This window comes from Homo sapiens, chromosome 15 (genome assembly GCF_000001405.40).
Source record: "Homo sapiens chromosome 15, GRCh38.p14 Primary Assembly".
Classification (NCBI taxonomy): Eukaryota; Metazoa; Chordata; class Mammalia; order Primates; family Hominidae; genus Homo; species Homo sapiens.
In genome coordinates this window covers 36,485,045-36,507,499 of record NC_000015.10, presented here as the reverse complement: position 1 = coordinate 36,507,499, position 22,455 = coordinate 36,485,045, and the positions used below count along the sequence as shown (strand labels likewise).

Sequence of the window (22,455 nt, the reverse complement as noted above, 5' to 3'; positions counted from 1 at the left end):
TTGTCTCCTAAAAAATATGCCCTTTCTAAATCTTTTTTCTTTTCAAATGAAAAGACTAAAAGGACTACTTTTGTAATTAAAAGTCATTTTGAAATAACCTCAGAAGATTGTTTCTAGATATCAAAACATCTTTATGGTCCCATTTCTATGGCAAGAAAGACAAGCAACTGGAATCCTGCACATTTTACTGTAGTCTACATTAATTACCTTCTATTAAAAAATGACAAAGACCTTTTTGAAAGAGAATCTGGCACTCTTTCCACAGAAATGATGGCAGACACCCTACTTTGCTGATTTCCTGACACTTCTAATTACCTGTATTCATTTGAAATCGTTTCCTTTGTAGAGAGTTATTGGCATGATTTTCTGAGAACAAGAGGAAAATGGAAAACATTTTAGCAAGTTAAGGAAAAAAAAATCAACAGTATCATTGTTTGCCGCTTTTGTTGAAACTACCTACACAAGTCATTTGAGGGACATGAAGGTAAATGAAAGGTTATACTTTGCCCTGCACGTTGTTGCTGGTATTTGTAATGTCAATAACTGTAGAAGGTTGTCAGGAAACTGGAGAGATAAAGGTCAATAGCAATGACAAATATAGCATTGTATGTGTTTGAATATGCAATATCAGGCTAATCTGCCAGTAGAGGTTTTCACACCCTGGAAATATCAATCAGGTGCTATATGAAACCCACCTATTGTTCTCCAGTTTCCTAGAATGTAGTGAGAAGATTTTAAGATTGAAAACCCACCAGAGAATCTTTTTTAGTAGGGGGTGACGGCGATATCATAGCCATTGCTGAATACACATATAAACACTCATTATTTATTTTAAAAGTGGGATTACAGAAAACACTAAAAGTTATCCAGTTTCTCAGATGCATCACTGGTGGGATATTTAAGCATTTTTCTTCTCCCCAAATGAGAAAGACACAGTTCAGCCTTGCATATTATTCCACTAAGGTGGATGGCAGCTCCTTTCGGTGTTATAAGCTAAATTAAATATTAAGTATGCTTTTCACACAATCTTGACAAAAATTTAGTAGGACTAGTGGTAAACCCTTACAAGAAGTCCTGCTTCCTGTTGATTTTGACATGTTAGAAAGTATGGGCATTTGTATTCAATAATAAATTATTTACAAATAAAATGCGCCATAGGTTACTTAAACTGGGTCTCTGCTAAGAACTGACTTGTTAAACACATTTTCTCAAAGCCAAACCGAAGCATTCAGATTCAGGAGAAAAATGCATCTGTCTTCCTTTTAGTAAACTGTACTAAAGAATTTATTTAAAACCTTTTGGGAAATGAAAAGTAAAAATAAAATAATAAGAGATCTTTTAAATGACTGTGCTTCAAGTTGGTCTTGAGGAACACCTGCAGGATATAAAGGCATTGGGTGTGAAATACAGAGGGATCATATTTTTTGGATATTACTTTTTAATTTTTGCATCTGCTGGTGGTCTACATTAAAATAAAATATTTCGAAAAGTTTGCTCTTCCTGAGACATTCTGCATTTTCTTGCGTATTAAGACCTCTTTCCCTCACCCTGACCCCATGCGTAAGTCATCTTTCCCAAATGCATACACAGACCACATGGAAAGAGAAGTGGGAAAGAGATTTGCTACTGAAGATTGTACAGAGTGACAGGAAAAAGAGTAGGAAGCTCAGCAGCAACCTGAGGTGACAGAATAAGGGAAAAGGCTGGAGGGGACAGAGAGGGCCTGAAGGAGAAGAGAGTTGGAAAGAAAGATAGAAATGATTTAGGGAGGGGAAAATAAAGAAGGGACATCATTAAGGTAAAGTATAAATATAATTTAACATCATAAATATAATTGTTACATAGGAAAAATGAGATTTACTGAACGCAGACAAAGAAGAAAGATAGACTGTAGAGAGTGAGAGAGAAAGGCATAATATTCAGAAGGCTGATCAGAAAAGAAGTTGCTAGATAGAGGGAAAGAAATGAATGTAGCAAAGGGTCTCTGATGTCTGTAGCCAAGGGGGTCTATCCATTCAAGGAACAATAAGTCAGAGGCTCAATTTCACTTTTCTTCTACATATGCCACGTGTAAACGAAGGTGTTTAGGAAGATACATGTCATAGTCACTGCAGTGAATATACAGTGTTCTTGCACACTTCTTTTCATTTAAAAATATTCTATAGATTTCCTTGTGGGGGCTTTTTGATGTCTTTTTTTTTAATAAAGCTCTAATTATTTCCAGAGAAATAATAATTTTAAAAGTCCTCAAACAAAAACCCTAAGTGATTTAAGTAGGGCATTTTGAGTTTGGGTTATTTCATCTTTCACTAGTTTCTCTTTGTATTTGGTTAGTTTTTGATTACATTTCTGACCTTCAGATAAGACTCCTGTGTAAGTAAACAGTCTGGTCAAATTTACCATATGCTAAATGACAGTTATAGAACAGTTCCAAGTTTTATTTATTTTACTTTTTATTTTTTGTAAACTGAAATGATATAAACAAAAGAAGACCTTAACTTTTCTGTTGTCTTCTTGCTTGAAGGTATTATTTTCTTCATGAAGACAACTAATGGGTTTAAGAAACCATAGAAGGACTCATACGCACTAGACATGGGTTAAATAGAGGGAACTTTTCTTTACAATTTCAGCAACTTGGATGCAGGTGCTGGAAGCAATAGAGCCCTGCACTGTTTATGCAAGAGTGTCTCTTCTTTACAGGCTAACATCTGGGTGAGAATAAAAACTTGAAGGTTTAATTTGTTTTATTTTATTCCCCTCCCCCTCTTTTTGTGTAAAGGTTAGTTTGGAGATGAATAGATACTAAGAGTTCAAGCAGTTTCATAATATTTCTTGTGATCTCTGGCCGGGCACAGTGGCTCACGCCTGTAATCCCAGCACTTTGGGAGGCCGAGGCGGGTGGGATCACGCGAGGTCAGAAGTTCAAGACCAGACTGGACAACATGGTGAAACCCCGTCTTTACTAAAAATACAAAAATTAGCTGGGTATGGTGGCATACATCGGTAATCCCAGCTACTCAGGAGGCTGAGGCAGGAGAATCGCTTGAACCCAGGAAGTGGAGGTTGCAGTGAGCCGAAATCGCGCCATTGCACTCCAGCTTGGGTGACAAGAGCAAGACTCCGTCTTAAAAAAAAAATGTATATATATTTCTTGTGATCTCTTTTTTTAAGTAAGCAAGATAGCACAAATAATGATCATTTTGCACAAAGTAAGGCTATTTTTTAAAATTTGATGATTGGTATTGAAAATCAGTTTATTAAATCATAATTTTCTCTTCCAATTTTTTCTTTGCTTTCACAGGACAGTATTAAGGCAATAGTAGAATTACATAGTGATTTTGCTTTTCTCTCTCCTTCGTTCATTGTTATTATTACAGGGCAGTTTAGTCATCAATAGCCCACAGTGGGAACTACTCAGAATTTGCAGAATTCGTCCATAGCTTTATCTCAGCAGACTAAAAATTTAATATAATTTCTAAGTGGAATAACCTACTCTACAAAGTGAAAGTACTGAAGGAGTACTGTAATTTGCAGGTGTTAAGGATGAGAGAGATTAGATATAATTTTATTCATATCTATCTTCTCTATCTCTCTATGTGGACGGATAAAGTATTAGACATGACAGAGGGTGCAGTTGTGAGGAAAATCGTAAATCTCAGGTCCTTTCCGAGGTAAGAAAAGGGTGAAGGCCAAATGCTTCCAGTTTTCTAGAAGTTAACTTATGCTTACTTCCATACACCAACACCTCTCTTCTCTCTCTTTCACACATACCTGCCACATTAGCCAAGTCTTCTTGTTTGGAAGAAAAAAATATCTACCTTTTAGGGTAATGTTAATATTTTAAAGACATTTTTTCTTTGTAAAAACTCACTAATCTTATTTATTAAGAGTTTGCTTAAGGAAATTAAATGGACATATAATTATTTCAATTATCTTTGTATTCTGAAGAAATTGTTGAGGTTCTGATACTGTCCAAGACATTGTGATGGGAATTTAAGCAAGAGAGAACAACCAGCGTAAAAAGGAAAAGTTAGAGGGAACAAGTGAAAAAAATTATAGAGAGGGTTATTGGAAAAAAGCATAAGCAATTAACTGGTGGAGAGAAAAAAATAAACTTTAAATATAAAAAATGAAAGATTTATTGAATTATAAGTAAGAAAAAAGATAACAAGGTTCCACAGTGGATCATAAACTAATTGTGGGTTAAAAGCATAGTCTGATTGTTCAAAGACAAAATACTGACAGATAGTCATTGAGAATTTAGGAAATAGAATCATTCACTTTATATGCATTATTAATCTGTTCTTTGTTATCCTGTTGTGTCCTTTAGCATCCTAACATTTATGCCAAATGTGCAGAATTTGGAGTAGGTCCAGAGGAAGCAGCAAAATAACTCAAGTGTTGGAAAATAGTACCAATAAAACAAGGGTAAAGAAACTGGCCTTGTTTAGTCTGGAGAAGAAAAGACTTGGAAGGAATTAATCGCAGTCTTCAAGTTCATGAAGGAACACAGTCCTTTGCAGGTAGAGGTGAACAGCTGGTCTCTGTTTCCTCTGAGAATAGTACCAGACAGCAGGGTCTTAAATGTGGTAGATGGGGATTTCAGCAAGATATTAGGAAGATCTTCTCCACCGTGCAGGGAGAGGATCTTCAGGATTTAACATGTGTTGAATTATTATTTTTGTAGTCTGCTAGTCCAAATTGCAGAACAAAAAGAGAGAATGCAATCTATAACACAGGAACCCATCCAGGAAAAGAAACAAAAAATAAATAATTGTGGATCTAGGGATAAAGTCCATCTGAGATGAAAGAAGTGCTAAATTCCAGAAGTGCATAAGAGTCAGGATACTTGATCAGAAAGGAAAACATATTACAGAAAAAAGAAAGGGATTAAATAAAGACAAAATAATGAAAATGGAAAGGATGCCATGAATTTAGAATACATTTATAATTTTAATCAAAATTATATTTTGGTGGTAAGAAAAGAATTCTAAATATTTTTATGTACAATACATAACAGCCACCAGAAATTTTAAAAAATACTGTGCAATTGAAATCCTTAAATATGAAAAATAGGGCCAAAAAATAAAAATAGGGCAAATAAACAGCTTTGCCATATTTTATTCCCAGTTTTATATGAAATAAAAAACAATGGGAAAATGAACTAAATTTCTCAAATATTTTTCTCAAATTTCTCAAATTTTTTTCGACCTTTTGATTTTTATGACGGGAAAACTGCGATTATCTGGTAAGTAAATAATACATGTGTACCACATAAAACAAGAATAAACAATGTATAGCATTCAAGAAGCAATATTGTAACAGAGAAATAACTCAGAAAAGTATTACAAAACTCATTAACATCCTTATCATCAGAGATATTAAGTGACTGCTCAGTGATATAGGTTTTATGCAGCTCAAACAAAGGAATATGACCCATGAATTCAAGAAACTTAGAAGGTTATCATTTGATAACAATGTTGCAGTCTAGGTAAATCACCTGGGATTGTAAAATCTATTGCACTTAGATGATGTTTAGGTGTATAAATACAAAAGCATAAGTGACCATTTCAGCAAACTGAATTGTTAAAGGATGTGCATTAGCTTTTAAAATAATTACAGAGGTTAAAATTGTTACTCGCCTTGAACTATGATTGCAATTCCAAAATCAAAATTGTGCTTTATGATCACAAATGTATTATATTATGGGTCTATATAAGCAACTTTCTGCATAGATGACTCGGTCAGTTTTATCAATTTTCTAGTTACTTTTGTTTTTTCAGACAGTCACTCTACCTCTTTGAAAATGGAATGGATCCTGCTTATGTCCAGCTTTGATGAACAGTCTCAACATTTCACAGTTGCATTTTGTCATCGATAGGTTCAGTCTAATATGTTTTGCAATGCGCTGTTTTTTTTTCCTGATGTTTGAAACTTTTCTTCACTCTAAAAAGCAGAAAATAGAATAGCCCATATTTGAATTTATTTTGCCAAGATGATAGTTATGTATATTTTATAACATTCTGGTACACAGAGCTTAGCAATCTAAAAATAGAACCTTGAAAATATTTTTCTACTGCTTTTTAAAAATACACTTACGAATACTTGTAAAATGATTTTAGTTTGGAAATACATCTTAGTCTCTCTCTCTGTCTGTCTCTCGACAAAGAAAAGCCTTTTGTTCTGGTCTCTCTGGCACTACCTCATTCTGTGACTTTCTGCTGTCCCCTAGTGGCATGTTAATCTTCTTGACTACTGTGTGATTGCCCTGGAACCAATTCTCTACTCTTCTGTGCTTTCTTGTGACTCCGATTAGCAGACATTTAAAATACTATTAAACAACCCATGAGCTGCCTTTTAGAAGCAGTAACCCTGTTCTTTAGCCTAGTTTTGCATTTATGAATTCTTACCAGAGTAAACATGTCCAGGGGAGGCATGCTATGTAGATACATTTGATTATTTCGCCACAATCAACATTTCAGGTTTTCAGAATCCTAACACAAAACTGATGAAAGCAAAATGTTATCAGTTTTGACTGTTCTATACATAACATACGGTAGCTAAAAGGTAATTTGTGACAGGTCAGACTATTTATGTCAATAGGTTTACAAACAAAAATTGCACTATTCCTTTTCCTTTGCTTTTCAAAATTCTGGTTGGTTACTCTCATTGTAATATTTGCTTTTTCCATGGTGACATATTTCTATAAAATATTTAAAAAGATAGAATGACATTATAATATCTGAAGCATTAGATTAACTCATATATGTAAAAACAGACTTGCATCAACATTTACCTGAATGAATAAAAAATGTTCTCAAAATTTCCTGTATGTTATCCTTCTTTCTACATGAATCAGAATTTTTTTTAAATTTAAAGATATTTTGGTTATTTTATCTCCCTTCTGTGTTTTATGTGCTTGAGCTACAATGTTCAGCTCTAATATGGTGTTGGGAAATTTTTCAGTACAGCATTTTAGTTTTCTGAATTAGTAATTTCAAAATGTATATAATAAAAATGGAATGTAAGAACTTGTCAAAAACAATATTTCAGTTTTTAAAAAAATTAACTTTCACTGAAAAAGGATTACTAAAAACCTGGCTTACACAATTCTTTTTAAAGATGGCTAAAAGCAAACTAAGGAGAATTTACAAGAAAAAAGGTCTGGTGAAATCCAGCCCATTAACTGAACATTACAGAAATCTGAGATGTATACTGAACTAATGATTTCTTGGCACTGTCTTGTTTGGCCCTCGTCATGGTTTTGACAATTATCATATGAATAGCAACACTTTTTTCTTTCTGAACTCAGGGGGAAGGGAGTTTGGGAGGGGTTGGGGTGGGAAGGAGGCCCAAAGCCCTGGAAACTCCTATTTCTTAATAATTCAAGGGTACAGTTCGGCCGTGTGGAAGAAAAAAGAACTAAGCTGTAAGGTTCTGTTCAGTGACAATGTTCTTGTTTCTTCAAAGAGAATTTGATGTAGTTTTTGAACTGCCTCTCATCTAAAAGGTCAGATTGCTGCCCAATTTAGTCATTTTGTCTGTTTATACATGCCTCCATTGGGATAAGATATCAAAAAACAAAGCTCTAGATTGCAATCAATCTTGGCTTGAGTGCAAAGTCATCCAGCCAATCCAAGAGATCCTACTGACTACCATGGGGAAAGGGTAAAGGAAAGGTTTAAACCTCCTAAACTTTTTCTCAAGAGAAACCTCTTCTAAACTACTTTTCTAAACCTCCTTAACAAATGATGGAGCTCACACCCCCTCTTTCAATTTTGCCCTGACATCCAATTTCTCAAATTCAAATGACATCGTTTTCTAAAAATATATTCTCCCTCAACCATTTTAATTTACAATAGCTATTTTTCACACAGAAATGTCTGATTTTTTTAGTTGTCTATTCAGATTGTAAGTGTTCCAAAAATGTTCTCCTGGAGTTATTTTTAAAAACTTATGGTACGTTAGATAATAAATATTGTTGTTCTGTTACTGGAAACATTGAACGCAACATATTTGACAGGTTAATAGGAATGAGAATTCTATTTGAAATTTTAATTAATTTTAGTTTAGATAAATGTGCCTTTCAAAATCTTAATTCTAATGAGTAAATGGGAAAATTTATTTAATATTATAGATTATATTCAGTTAATTATCTTGTAGATTATTTGGAAAATAAAAACAGGAAAGAGTTTCTTTATTTTAAAAAAATTAAATCTAGAGACAGTCTTAATAAATCTCCTCTAAAGTAATATAGCATTATCAGTGGCCTATTCTCTACAGAATTAGGTTTTCCAAAACAAATAATAAAGCTGAACAGTCCTACTTTTTACAACTCTGGAGACTATCTAAACAAAATGAACAGATTTATAGGGCTATTTTTAGTGTGTGTCACTTGTATTACAGTTTACATTTGCTTTCGAACCTTATTTGACATTCTTGGGAGAAAAATACAGGCAGAACCCTCATTAAGATCCTTAATAAAGGATAGTCTCCAAAGGGCAGTTACCAAAAAACCAAAGTTGAGGCATGTATAAGAACGTTCCTTTGGACTTCATGTCATGCTGCTTCATTTTCATTTGTCTAAATAGTACAGCCCTGAACCAAAATGCAGATTTATAGGTTCTGTTTATAAAAATCATCAGGCATTGGTATAGCCTACATTATAATAATAACTGAAGTGAAAGCACATTTTTAATGGTAGGAATTTTCCCACAGCAACAGGTAAGTACGCTACACTTAAATAACTATTATTTTTCCATAAACTGTATATTCGCAGTAAAGTGAAAATTAACTTGCTGGAGAAGCATAGTACAATGTTGTGATTTTCTGCAAGCCATTCTCCCATGAATAAAAATGCATGGAAAGCCTTATGTAATGTTACGAAATATGTCATCACACATAGATTTATGGAAAAACCATGTACTATTTTGAAATATAGATGCAAGGATTAAATGTTTCCATTTTGTGTAAACCAAGTTTCTCTAGCAGTTTGTTCCATGTGAGGAGAAAGGCCAGTGCCTTCCATCGTGAAGGGGACCCAATTTCACTTGTTTGTACAAATAAGGAATGAAGAATTCACTTCCCTTTGTTTATTCCGAAAAGATATATCGAGAGGAAAATGTTAGAAATCTAAGACAGATACATATTTAACCGCTTTATCATATTTGTTTTCTTCTATGTAAACGGGAACACTTCGATAAGGTTACATTGTACCGGAAACCTAAATTGACACCCTGTTCAATGCGTTGTGTGCTTTCATATTAATTGTGTTCGTGTAAAACTCCCTAGTAAGGAAATGCCTTAGCTGCAGACATCATTTAGTTGAGCCTTATAAATAGAGCTCAAATTCAAAGGTAAGAAAACAGACAAGAATTGTACACCAACCACCCCTGATAAGATTATGTTTTCAAAGCAAAAACATGTCTACAAAGTGTTGTGGTGTGGAAATGTCCGATTAAATACTTAAGAAAACATGCTTTCCCACAGAGCAGTCTCTTTATTTGCATAAAATCTTTCCTTAGAACAACAACAAAAAAGTAACTTGGCACAACTATTGGAGCTTATGAAAAGTCAGGGTACCACATTTAAACCTGAAAAATAGATTTCTATAAAATTGTGGCTTCATAGGTTGCTCTCTATGAACTTGAATAAGTTGAAAAGTGAAAATGATACATTTGGACTGGAAGAAAGTAACATTCATTGTAGCTGCTGAAAAAATATAAATTAAGGCACTTTGGGAGGTTTCAAACAGTTTGCTATAGACATCTAAGAAAGTAGTTTTATAGCTTGATGAGTGTTTTTAACCAGTTAAAGATGTTACTGCAGCTACCTAAAAGCCACGTTGTAAACAATGCCTTTGATTAAAAGATTGTCAATTTTTTTTTTTTTAGATTTGAAGCTTTCAATTATCCTATTTCTTTGGCTTTGCAGTGTAAAGAAATTACATTACTATTGTAAATTTATCAATTACTAATTAGTTTGGTGGTGAGTGCCTAATTTGGGTTTCTGTATAATATTGGGCCAGTTTCAATTTCTTCTAGCATTGGTTTATCCCGACCTATTTAACATATGAATTAAGCCCAAATATCTTTCAAAATTCAAGGCTATACTTATTCCTGCCAAAATAATAAAAAATAATTTATTGTTGTAATCTTGATTTATGGTTTAGTTAGGCAGAGTGAAAATATGACCTCTGTAGGACTCCCCATTGCCCCTTAAATTCCAGTTTGCTTTACAATGGGTTTGTGTGCTGGTGAAAGTTGGTGCAGCTAACACTTAATATGTCGATTTAAAAATGAGCTGCTTTTGATTTTAAAATAATATTTAAACAAGAGAAGAAAAAAATTCTCTAAAAACATTATTTTGCTCCTTGTAACTTTCAATAACCCCCCCCCAAAAAATAAAAAAGGTAAACGTAGTCGTAAGACAATATATTGCAAGCAGGGACAGATGAGGCATTTTTCAAAATTAAACTGCTATGACAAGCAGTTGTAAGGCAGTCTGTTTTCTTATTTTGGGGGAGAGGTGGATTAGAGGCCTCACAATTGAAAATACATACCCACAGCAACCAAAATCTTCTTTTTAAGATATTCTCTTTTTTTAATCAAAAATAGTATCTTCTTTTTATCAAATATACCCACAATGTTTCATAATTTCGGTGATCTTTGCTTTCCAATTTTGGTGGATTTATTTCAAATTTTTATGACATCACTTTACGTGTTGCATATTTTTGTCCATAAATGATAGTTATTTGTGTGAAAAATAGAACAAAGCATGAAAATATGGCTTTTCTTCTTACTCCGTTTTTGAAGTGGAATACGATCATTAGCCAGGGCTGTGGTTTAGTAGCAGTAACATTTTGAAAAATAGCCTAAATAAGTAGATGTTAAATTAATCAAATACGAGACTATTATTTTTAAAAAATGTATACCATTAAGATGTTTCAGCTATAAGTAATTGTTACGAAGAAAATAGAAGGTTGCATCTTTAAAAAATTAGCATATGCTACCTCTTTGGAGTGTTAAAAAGATTCAGTACTTAACTCAGATTTGTGAAAATCGTAATTAAGAAACTGTTCATGTTTATATTAAAGTCACATGATTAAGCCTGAATTTAGAAGTTGATGATGCAGCAGTAGATGCTACTGTGACTTACTTAAAGTGTTTGTCTCTTTTATAATTTGGAAAAAGCGTCTCTATATCAGCTTTCTCAGAGTCTACAAGGATGCCTCACTGATGAAGTTAAGAACTTTATCCAAATTTCTTCTAGTGTTTTTACTTTGTTACTCAAGTCAGAGACAAAGCATATTTTCTCAGGCATTGATTTTGTTTACCCTCTTGTGGTTAATAAGAATTTATCATTTAAAGGTCCTGCAGGTTGAAATGCATATAAAAATCAGTCTTGATTTCCAAAAACCATTTATAGTGAAAGCAAAAGGAATTTCAATTATTTTATCATGTGGTTTATATATCTAGGTATACTTTTAATTAAACACCAGTCCATAAATAAGCAAATAATAGAAGTTAGCAGGGAAGCAGTTGATCTGAATCATGACAGTTGCTCATTTATCTTTGTCCTAACTAGACAATAGGAAATGACACTACGCCGTTGTTTTCTGTGCATTAAGATTTCCTTCTTAAACAAATGCAGTTGAGGCGGTTTGTTTTCCGACAGCCTAGCACACACTGCCAGTGGCCAGAGTTTTGTCTCATCTTCATCCAGAGGAGGATTAATCTTGGTGATGGTGCAAACAAAATGTATGTCTGGGGTCAAAGTGCAGACTGCCTTTTGGGATCTGCATTACATTAACGTCATTTTTGGGTTCCTGACGTTAATCAAAACCAACACCATAAAGCGTCACTTAGCTAATTTGTGTATTATTGTCAATGTTACCATTAATTATGCGTTTGTGAGGAAAAAGAGGATTAATGAGATGTCACAGGTAATTTACAATGATCAGGCTCCCCAGGACATTAAGAAAACACTAGCTGGGTAAGATTACCGTGCAATCATAATAGTATGCAAGAGGCAAAAGTCTTTGTTGAGGCACCACACTAATATTGTCCATCATCATCCAAATCTGTTTTCACTAGAGTAATTCCTAACTTTTACATCTCTTGTTCAAATTAAATATTTGTCTTGTCCTAAAACATTAGGCCAAATGTATTAATTGTGAGACATTTGTTGATGTGTCTCTCCAAGTTCTGAGGATAAGCTATTGTTTCTCTTGAAAGGTAGGCAGAGTCACACAGGACTAATTCTTTACCGTGCTCCGTGAACTTGGGTTCACATTTAATATCCCTATGACAACAGTTTAGGTAATTTACGTGGTTGTCTTTAAATCAGTCTGATAAAAAGATCTCTTATATCACTGTTTTCTCCAGCCTCGCCTGCACTCACAACCGTGTAAATAAAGGGCTTTTGCTTTCTCTCATCCCATTTCTGGAATTCACTCAGTAAAGAGAGACAGAATAACCTAATGTAAGTATTGTATCAGCACAACGCACAGCGGGGTAGAGGCTCTGAAGTACAGTTCTGTACTGTGGTCTAGATGGCCATCTGGAAACAGGAGTGCTGGGTCTCGGCTTCCCTCTATTGCCCACTTGCTGTGCCATATGGTGAATTGGGATCTGCTCAGAGAACAATCTGGAGCCCCCAAGGGCAAATCAGAGAGTGGTTGGTTCAGTCTGTGATTGGAGAATCAAGCTTGATACAAGTGCTCACTCAGAACCCGAGAACCTAGTGGCAGAGGTTCTGAGAGTCAAGAAAGGAGCTAGAGCTAGGGACAAGGAAGTACTTTGAAAGAATCGGGAGACAAGAGCATGAGAATTATTGAGAAAGAATTATTGGGAAATAAATCTGTGACATTTATTTATTTAACAGATATTTGTTCATCTCTCATCACGCACTAGGTATCATGACAAGGATAGGGACGCAATGGGGAGCAAAACCAAACATGATCCCATGCAGTTGAGAGCTCCGGGCCTCGGTAACTCTATCAGCTTGGCTTCTGAAATGATCACCGTGCTGCAGGATGGAAAATGGATTGGAGGAGAGTGAGAGTGAATTATGGAACGGTGTGTAGAAGGAGTCAATTTAGGGAGAGCATTTACTATTTTAATGTGAATTTTCGTTAACTCATATTAGTTTTTCTTGGTCTTATTTTTATTTATGTGAGGAATTATATGATAAAATTTCAGAATTATATATTTACTTTCACACAGATTTATACAATCCAGGTTTAAATCTCAGCTCTGGGAAACCTTGAACAAATTATTTAACCTATAAGTGTCAGTATCTTTATCTGTGAAATGGAGATAATAAAACTTACCCAATATAGTCATAAAAATTAAATGAGATAATGAATGTAAATTACTTAACACAGGGCTCACCACACAATAAGGGTTTAATAAGGTGGTGGTTTTAAGCCTTAAATTTTTTTCAGGAACACCTGTGGAACTTCAAAAAATACAGCTGCCTGAGCCATACTCCAAACCTATTCAATCTGAATACCTGGGTCTGATCTCATTGTGTACCCTAGATGAAAATCACTGCAATAAAAATTAAATATTTATAATTTATTATTAGCAATTTTATTAACATTAATATCGCAGTGAAACATCTAAAAAATTTTATCTGATGCCATAGTATAGAGGATATGTGGGATCACGAATTTTATCAGGTCCTTATATGTGTGACTATAATGTTTGGGGCCATATGATTTTAATTGTAGCATATAAAGATCTATGAAATAATGTTATATTGCAATTACTGCTTATTTTTGTGTGTCTATGTGTGTGCATGATGGATCTATTTCCCTGGGGTGAGTGCAGAAGTTTGAGATGGCTGGCGTTATAGGAAAGCTATTTTTAAGAAAAATTGTCTATGTACTAGGATAAGGTCAAACCACAAGTGAGCTGAACTTCACCATCTATTAACAAACGAAAATAAAACATTTATTACATTGTCCATTCTTGCTTTTTTATATTTACGGTATATTCCAAGGAGATTTCCCTGTTGGGATAAAATTTCACAAACAGAGAGGGGAAAGGAGGGGGAAGTTTAAATAAAAATCTTTTATTATTGATTTGGCATTGTTGGGGCTAACCACATAGATTGTGAAAATAATATAGTTTATTTCTTTTTTTTATTGGCTCTACAAAGTAATAGCTTAGCATAGCTATTAGTTTATCTTGTAACTAACCTTTGAACTACTTTGTGAATTGGTTGTTTTCCAGAAAGCAGTATAGTCAATAAAATAAACACTGAAAGATTCTTAATAGCATTAAGTGTACTGAAGGAGAAGATTCTGAAGACAAGCTCTGCTCTTCCTCTGGACTATGACATTTTATGGACTTGAAATTTCTTACTATATTATCATGGTCCTTGCAGTGAAAAAACCCCTACTCTAAGATTTGCAATCTACCCATTATAGAATTTATTCATGCTCTGAAATTAAATGGACAGTGTGTTTAATTATTTACCGTACTGGCACGGGATGAAGAAAAAGCTATATCAAAATGTTCTGGCCCAAAGGAAGTTTACCAAGGGATTAGATATTATACATAAAGATCTAGTCATTTTATGACTATTTTTTTTAATGTGAGTGATCATATGTGAAACTGTGTATAAGACCCACTGAAATTATTATTTAAGACACCAGAAATGTGTATATGTTCATAAGTTTTGTTTAAGTGCACTGTTGTCATCAGAAACCAGGATTGCCAAGATATCTACTAAGTAAAGAGTAGAAAATGTTGCTCAGATGACTACACAAATTCCTCTTCAACATAATCATGAAAAAACTTTCCAGGATTGGGAAGCTTCTGTTTTATTTTCATGTCCAAGAGAGCTGATTAAGAAATTATCATATCATTTCTGTCTTTTCAACTACTGGCCAAGACATCCTGGTAACCCTCTAGATCACTACAATCTTACATTGTCAATCAAACATCACCAAACCTATAATGCACTTAGAGAGTATAAAGCTATACATGATCAACATTTCCAAAAGGAGAATCCTTTCAACATCATCAGTTCACCAGGAAAAAGTGTATCCTCATGTTAAATACCTTTGAAAAATAATACATTTATATTTTCCTCTTTGAAATTAACCATGTGCATTGACTTATTAAATGCTCCTATTATAAATAAATATTTTTAACTCTGAAAGTTATTTTTGCTCAGTAAAACATGGATTTCTGCTCCATGGGACACACTCTAGGTAACATGGCAGTAGATATTTTCTGTCTCCATTAGTTGGTCCACGGGCAAGCCAGTGGGAGACGGGAGTTATTAGGAAGTGTGAGCAGTTGAACCAGCTAGAAACAGAATAACCAGGGGAAACCCAGGGCTACAGCTGGCACACCAGTGCTGATTGTCAGGTCTGTAGAGTGAGACGAGGGCCAAAATGGTTTTGTATTTCAGAACTCTGTAAGTAGGTGACCTGCACTGGAAGGATTTCACCTGTGAACTACATTCAAATGGAGACAGAAATACCAACAACATCTGAAATGTAAAAAGCTGGTACAGAAAAATATGTATAACGCACTCAGACATTCTCTGCCAACAACATCTGAAATGTAAAAAGCTGGTACAGAAAAATATGTATAAGGCACTCAGACATTCTCTGCATCTTCAAGGAGCTGGAATCACTGGGTTCTCCTTATTCACCCTATGTAACCTTTCCTCTACCTTTGTCACCTCAGATACCTTCCCTCCTTCTCCCTCCACTCTGGATGGTGGCTGGTCTTCATGTTTGTTTTGTTTTGTTTTTAACTTTCTTCAGGGGTACTCATTCTGATTTCCAGCAGCTCCCTTATTTGATAGTTTGGGTTTGTATTATTGACTGTGACTTGAACTCCAATTTGATTAACCCCACAAATGACTTTTCACCAAGAAATACTCTAGTGCATGTTCTTGCAAAGACCCTCTCTTCTACCTATATAGAATCTTTCAGAAGTGAAGACAAAGGAATGCACTGAAACATCCTTTCCTTATCTTGGTTCTCTGCCTCACAATTTTTCCTCTCCCTCGTCTTCCTCCCCTGCCCCCTTCTCTCTCCCTCTCCCTCATTCTCCTTCTTCCTTACATTCTTTTTCAAATCACTGGGGCTCCAAACTCATTAAACTTTAGGTTCTTCAACTATATCAAAGTGAATAAATCTGTCCCTTAAATTAGTACAATAAGTTAATAGATCTTGGCACAAAAGATGAACACGAGGAAGAAAAAGTAGTAGCCAAGAAACACAGGGTTCTGAATAGGATTCTTCTTTTCTCCCTTGTTTTCTAAATTCAGCTCTTCCTTCCTGCATCCTAACCTCCATGCAGTCATCACTGGCTGCACTGCCCTTCAGGTGACAGTTGAAAAGTCATTTCTTCAGGGACCTCTTCCCTTACCATCGATACATAGTTAGATCTACTTTTATATGATCTTTAAAACTCTATAGATAGACTGCCTTAGATTTAATTAACAATCTAGATGTAGATACAACGCTACAGTCAAATGTTATCTATTCAGAAATTTTGTACAATTCCTGGACAATTAGAAATGTGTGACAAATTCCTTCATTACCGTACAAGAATATCTCTGTAATAGGCAGCCTGTACAATGGCTCCTTAAGATCCCCCCTCCTGGAATTCATAGCTTTGTGTAATGTGTCTCCACTCACATGTGAGCTGGACACCGTGACCCTCTTGTAATGAAGAGAACACTGCAAAAGTGATGAGATATCACTGCCAAGATAAGGTTACAAAGAGATGGTGACTTCCATCTTGCTGGCTCTCTCATGGTCTCTCTCTCTGAGCCCTTGCCCTGAGAAAAACAAGATACCATGTTGTGAGTGGCCCAATAGACAGAACAAGATAGCAAGGAACTGGTGCCATGCTAATAGCCAGTGAAGACCTGAGGCCCACCACCAGCCACTCACCAGTGAGCCAGCTTGAAAGTCAATTTTCCCTTGGTCCAGCCTTGAGATGTCCGTCACAGCACATTGATTGTGACACTGTGAGAAACCTTGAGTTAGGGAACTCATCTAAGCCAAGCCTGGCTTTCTAACCACAGAACCAGTGGGAACAAATGTTGTTTTAAGTCATCAAGTTTTGTTTTGGGAAAATTTTTACTCAGCCATAGATAACTAATACAGATTTTGGTACCTGGAGGTGATGTGCTGCCGTGGTGAATAGTGGGTCAAGTCTGGAAGGATTTTGAGGAGTGTGTCAGAGAAAGGCTAATTTTCCTTGGAGGTCTGGAACGGATTTCATCTGCATCTCCTATAAATTCGGGCTAACAAGAAAACATTAACAGTAAGTTCTTGAGTTATATTTGACAGGGTTCTCACCAAAAATGCTGAGATTAAGGTGCCTTAAATATGATAGCTATCCAGGCTAGTGAATATCTGTAATTTCACCTACTAGTAGCCTTTTATATGCATAATTTCAATCCTCTAAGACATATAACATATACCACACACAGCGGATGTGTATGGTGATTTGATGTGGGCCAGGATGCTCTTCTACAGCTTTTTACGAGGTTGTGAGTTCCCCCATTAACTTTTTATGGGTATCTGGCTCGAATCTGTGCCTGTGAATAAATGATCACCCTTTCTTTTTTTTTTTTCCTCTTGTGGAAGTAATGCATTTCCATGCCACTTCAAATCTTGGTTCCATTTGCTAAGTAATTTATATTATAAATATGTTCTTAGCTCATGTATAACTTTCTTAAAAGTTTGATTATCTGATTTTACTGCAAAGAGAAATTCCTTTTTGCAACATCTTGAACTAAATCTATTTAGTGATTTTGTTTTCATAAGTAGGAAAAAATTTGTTATCTACCCTGAAGGAATTTGCCCTCATGTATAATGGAGAAAGAGATGCTTATGGTATAAGTGTCTAAAGACATTTGAGTCAAGACAGTTAAGAGTATAATATTGTGATTTTTAGATGGCATTCCTTTGAAAGTGAATATAATTAAATATTTTTACGTATTATTAGGTAATGCATCTGTATCTATCTATCTATTTCTATACATCTATATCTATCTATGTAGCTATCTCTGATTTAACAGAATCCATTTCTCATTTCATTGCAATGGGTAAAAAGAAAATGCAAGTCTAACCAATCTATGTTTTAAAATAATGTTGTATGTAAATTGGGGTCTGTTTAGATCAAGCCTATTCATTTAGTATGACCTCTCCTTTTCCACGTAACTTAAGAAACAGGATATCTGTGCATCCTTCAATTACAGCCCAGTGAGAAAAGAGGTAAATATGGGAAAATGCCTTTGGTCCCACTGGCATGTGATTATTCCGCAGAATTTAAGTGATTTAGTAGTAACATGGTCCAGCCTTCTGGACTGAATCGTTTCAGCTTCCATCACCACCTAGTACTTATACACATACATTTGAAATAACCTGTATTAATGAAAATTACCTACTGGTCAATCTTACATATAATAAGAGAGTGCTGCTTAGGTGGTATGCTTTGAAGAATTTCTCTGTTGTAAAATATCTTCCTCCACAGCGTGCCACAGAGTTCCAAATTCCAAATATTCGTTTATCCATAAGGGTCTATAAAGGAGCTATACATTTCAACCAGCTTAAGCCATCCCTTGAAGAGGGGTTAACTAGTAGCTGGTGGCTAGTTAGTTTGTAAGGATTAATTAGCTTATTTGAATAATTGCTACTCATAGTTATGCAGCAGAAGGGCCTCAGGCAATAGACGCACACAAGATTGGGTTTGATGGAAGTGGCTGAAACCAATACATTGTATTTAGGGTAACTAAGCTTAGTGACCCCTCTATCTCCATTCCCCGTAGATGAGAGCCCTGAAAATCTAGGAATCAGATAAACATGGAAGCAAAATGGCACCAAAAAATGGCAGAGCAAGGTCTTGAAGACACATTGTATTTTTGTCCATCTTGCCTAGGACTGGAATTTGTTACATTTCCTTTTTTTGTTAAATATAAACAACTCATAGATGAAGACTGTATAATAAATTTCTATGTAAGGACGTTTATTTAATTTATTTATTATTGTCTTTAAAATAACATATTATAATGAAGAATTCTTATTTTTGGAATGATTTTGTTGATAGTTTCAAGTGCATTTTTCATAATTCCACTATTAGAATTTTTATAATATTTTAATGGACATCAGGTACATAAAATTGGACTCCAATAATCTTTGGTCATCATTAATCCACTTATGGCCCTGTAAATGTATTCATTCATGCAGTGTGTTACACAGTCAGTCATGAGTCCACTTTTCAACACACAAGTTGAGGCCTTGACAGTAACTTCTGTCTGGCTATGTGGTTCTCCTCAGTCCCCTCATCTGTCTTTTCTTACCTAATGCAATCACCATCCCAAGTCCTGTGATCATTGTTCTCTTGCATTGCTTCTTATATCATTTTATCCCATCTAACTGTATTTCTAAAAAGCATATTTATATTTTATTTTCATTATTTTTAGCTTTAAAAATATGCTTTATGTAGACATTAGTGACATTTTTAATATAAAATTATTAAGATTTTCTATATTGCTGCATTATGAATATCCACACGGTAAATTCATTCATTTTGATTGTTGTATATATTTTGTAAATTATTTTTTAACTGAAACTACAGTCTCCCTTTTCTTTCCTTCCTGCCTCTCCTCCGTAACTCCACTCTCCTTTTTTCTTTTCTCCCTGGTCCCTCCTGTCAGTCCTGCTCTTACTCCTGTATTCAGGACATGTAATTGCAATTACCTACTACACATCTGCACTTGCAAGTACTGTAGTTACCTTCAATCATACTTCTAAAATAGATTTCCCATATATATATATGTATATTTTGAGACGGAGTCTTGCTCTGTCGCCCAGGCTCGAGTGCAGCGGCGCCATCTCGGCTCACTGCAAGCTCCGCCTCCCGGGTTCACGCCATTCTCCTGCCTCAGCCTCCTAAGTAGCTGGGACTACTGGCGCCCGCCACCACGCCCGGCTAATTTTTTGTATTTTTAGTCGAGATGGGGTTTCATCGTGTTAGCCAGGATGGTCTTGATCTCCTGACCTCGTGATCTGCCCGCCTCGGCCTCCCAAAGTGCGCCCGGCTATATTTCTTCACTCCTCACAACTCAGCATCAGAGGACCTTGGGACATAAGTTAGCATTCCAGAAAACAGAGTTTGAAAATAACTGTCTGAAGCAGTAAACTGATGTATGCATAGATTAGGAATCTCTTTATAGTTTACTTCAGTACTTCTTAAACTTCAGTGTGTTTCAGAATCATCTAGAGTGCTTGTTAAACCATACGTTTCTGGACCACCCTCCCAGAGTCTCTGTTTATTAAGTATGGGGTGGAGCTTGATAATTTGCATTTCTAACAAATTCTCAGGTGATGCTTATGCTGTTGGTCTGCAAACCACTCTTTGAGGACTATGGGTGTATTAGAATTTTTTTTTTTTTTTGAAATGCACCTGGCCCCAAACCTTTTATTAGTCTCAAAGGATAGAAATAGGTTTGGGAGCTGATGTCCAGTATGCCCATGGTCAGTAATCTAGCTAATAATCGAATAGTCTTTCAATTATGCAAGAAGAAAATATTGATTCTTATTTTAAATTCTATGTGCAAATTCAAATTAATACTTGCCTGTCTTGTATACTGGCCAAGGATCTTGAAATTCAAAAATGAGTAAGTTTTAAGGTGGTTTCATTTATTTTCATACTTTTGTTGCATGCATTCTGATCATATTCTTTAAATACTACTTACCGATAAATCTCACTTTACCCAATAGATGTGATTTTGATAGATTGCATGTAGGCCACAGTTCTGTATACGAAATAATATCTTAAATGCACAAAGGGAGCCATCTATTAAAAAATTTATGTTAAAAAGTTCTTTTGAATTGTACATAATTATTCTTCAATTTATATCTTTTGAGAATTTAAGATTCTGCCTATAATGTTGTCTTGAATGCAGCATACATACACAAGAGGTGCAGTAGTATCTCACAGATGCACCAGGAAGACAAGAGCTTTTAAGAGAAATAATAACTTCTCTTAGATATCCATGTGCAATTTTAATGGCAAAAGTGGTACATTTTCACTGGATGTCATGCACAACTTCATGCCTGGCTATCTTTTTCCAGCTCATAAATGCTACTGATTTGCAGATGCTAGGCTGCTACAATATCCCTATAAACCTCTCTTAGAAGAAACACAGCTTCCGGCCTGGCGCGGTGGCTCACGCCTGTAATTCCAGCACTTTGGGAGGCCAAGGCAGGCAGATCACCTGAGGTCAGGAGTTCGAGACCAGCCTGGCCAACATGGAGAAACCCCCATCTCTACTAAAAATACAAAATTAGCAGGGCATGGTGGTGCATGCCTGTAATCCCAGCTACTCAGGAGGCTGAGGCAGGAGAATTGCTTGAATCTGGGAGGTGGAGGTTGCGGTGAGCCAAGATTGTGCCATTGCACTTCAGCCTGGGCAACAAGAGCAAAACCGTCAAAAAAAAAAAAAAAAAAAAAAGAAGAAGCATAGCTTCCATCAAAGTAAGTCTTTAAAAATATTTATCAAGCTGTAATAAACAACACTCCTCAAATGTGTTGGATATAAAAAAATAACCTCTTGAGGGGCGACAGCAGTGCTGTTTTTACTCATAAGGTGCTGCACCCTTGCCAACACTAGTAAATGATGTGGTCAGTGGGGCTCATGAAAATAAAACTTTTCCCTTTTTCTTTTTTTTTTAATCTGAGGTGATGATCTATATTCTTTTCCTGAGTTATTCAAATAGATAAAAATAACATCTTTTCAAAAAAAACTGCTCCCAGCAGGCAAGAAGATATTTATATTCAGTACTGAGAATAAGGATCTATAGTTAAGTAAATGGAAATGTACTAGATCAAATTATATCGCCTTTAGCAAATAATAGCAGTGTTAGCCCCTTGGTACTGACCAAGTTGTTCAATATCCTTATTAACCTGTGTTATTTAAAGTGCGAATTCAAATAGCATAGGAAAAATTTTGGCTGCAATGGGAAGTGGTTTCCTTCTGCCCCAGGACTGAGGACAACTTGGAAACTTGAGCGATGCCCCTATGAGCTAGAGGGGACCATGAGCCCACATGAGTCTAGTAGCAGTAATGGTCCATTGACCGTATTTGGGAAATTCATCTGCGGACTGATCCACTCCATAAAAGCAAAAGAAATTGAGACAAGGATGAAAGGAGGAGGAAACTTAATAGGAATTAAGTGCAAATCATTGAAATAACCATAAATGAAACATTCCTGATGATTTGCCTCACATGAATAGACACTATTTCAGTTATGAGTATCTTTAAAATTCTTCAACTCTTTTTCTTACCCATAAAATATTTTAGTTGTCCCTATGTATTTTTCTCACCTGTTTCTTTTTTGGCTGTCTTTTCTTCTCTCTAATGTTTCTCTTTTGTCTCTCTTTCCCACCTTTTCTCTTTTCTATT

The 22,455-nt window shown here is 35.3% G+C and overlaps 1 long non-coding RNA gene across 2 annotated transcripts; it reads right to left on the bottom strand.

Annotated features, from left to right (window-relative positions):
- Positions 1-290: 290 nt before the first annotated feature.
- LOC105370770 (uncharacterized) lies at positions 291-22,416 on the bottom strand. Of its 2 annotated transcripts, XR_932113.1 has the most exons (4): positions 22,377-22,416; positions 17,157-17,286; positions 5,797-5,946; positions 291-366 (listed from the first exon to the last, which is right to left on the bottom strand). It is a non-coding gene; the product is annotated as an uncharacterized LOC105370770 (long non-coding RNA). The 2 variants fall into 2 exon arrangements; XR_932112.2 differs by lacking the exon at positions 291-366 and having other exon boundaries at positions 5,471-5,946.
- Between the last annotated feature and the right edge of the window lie 39 nt (positions 22,417-22,455).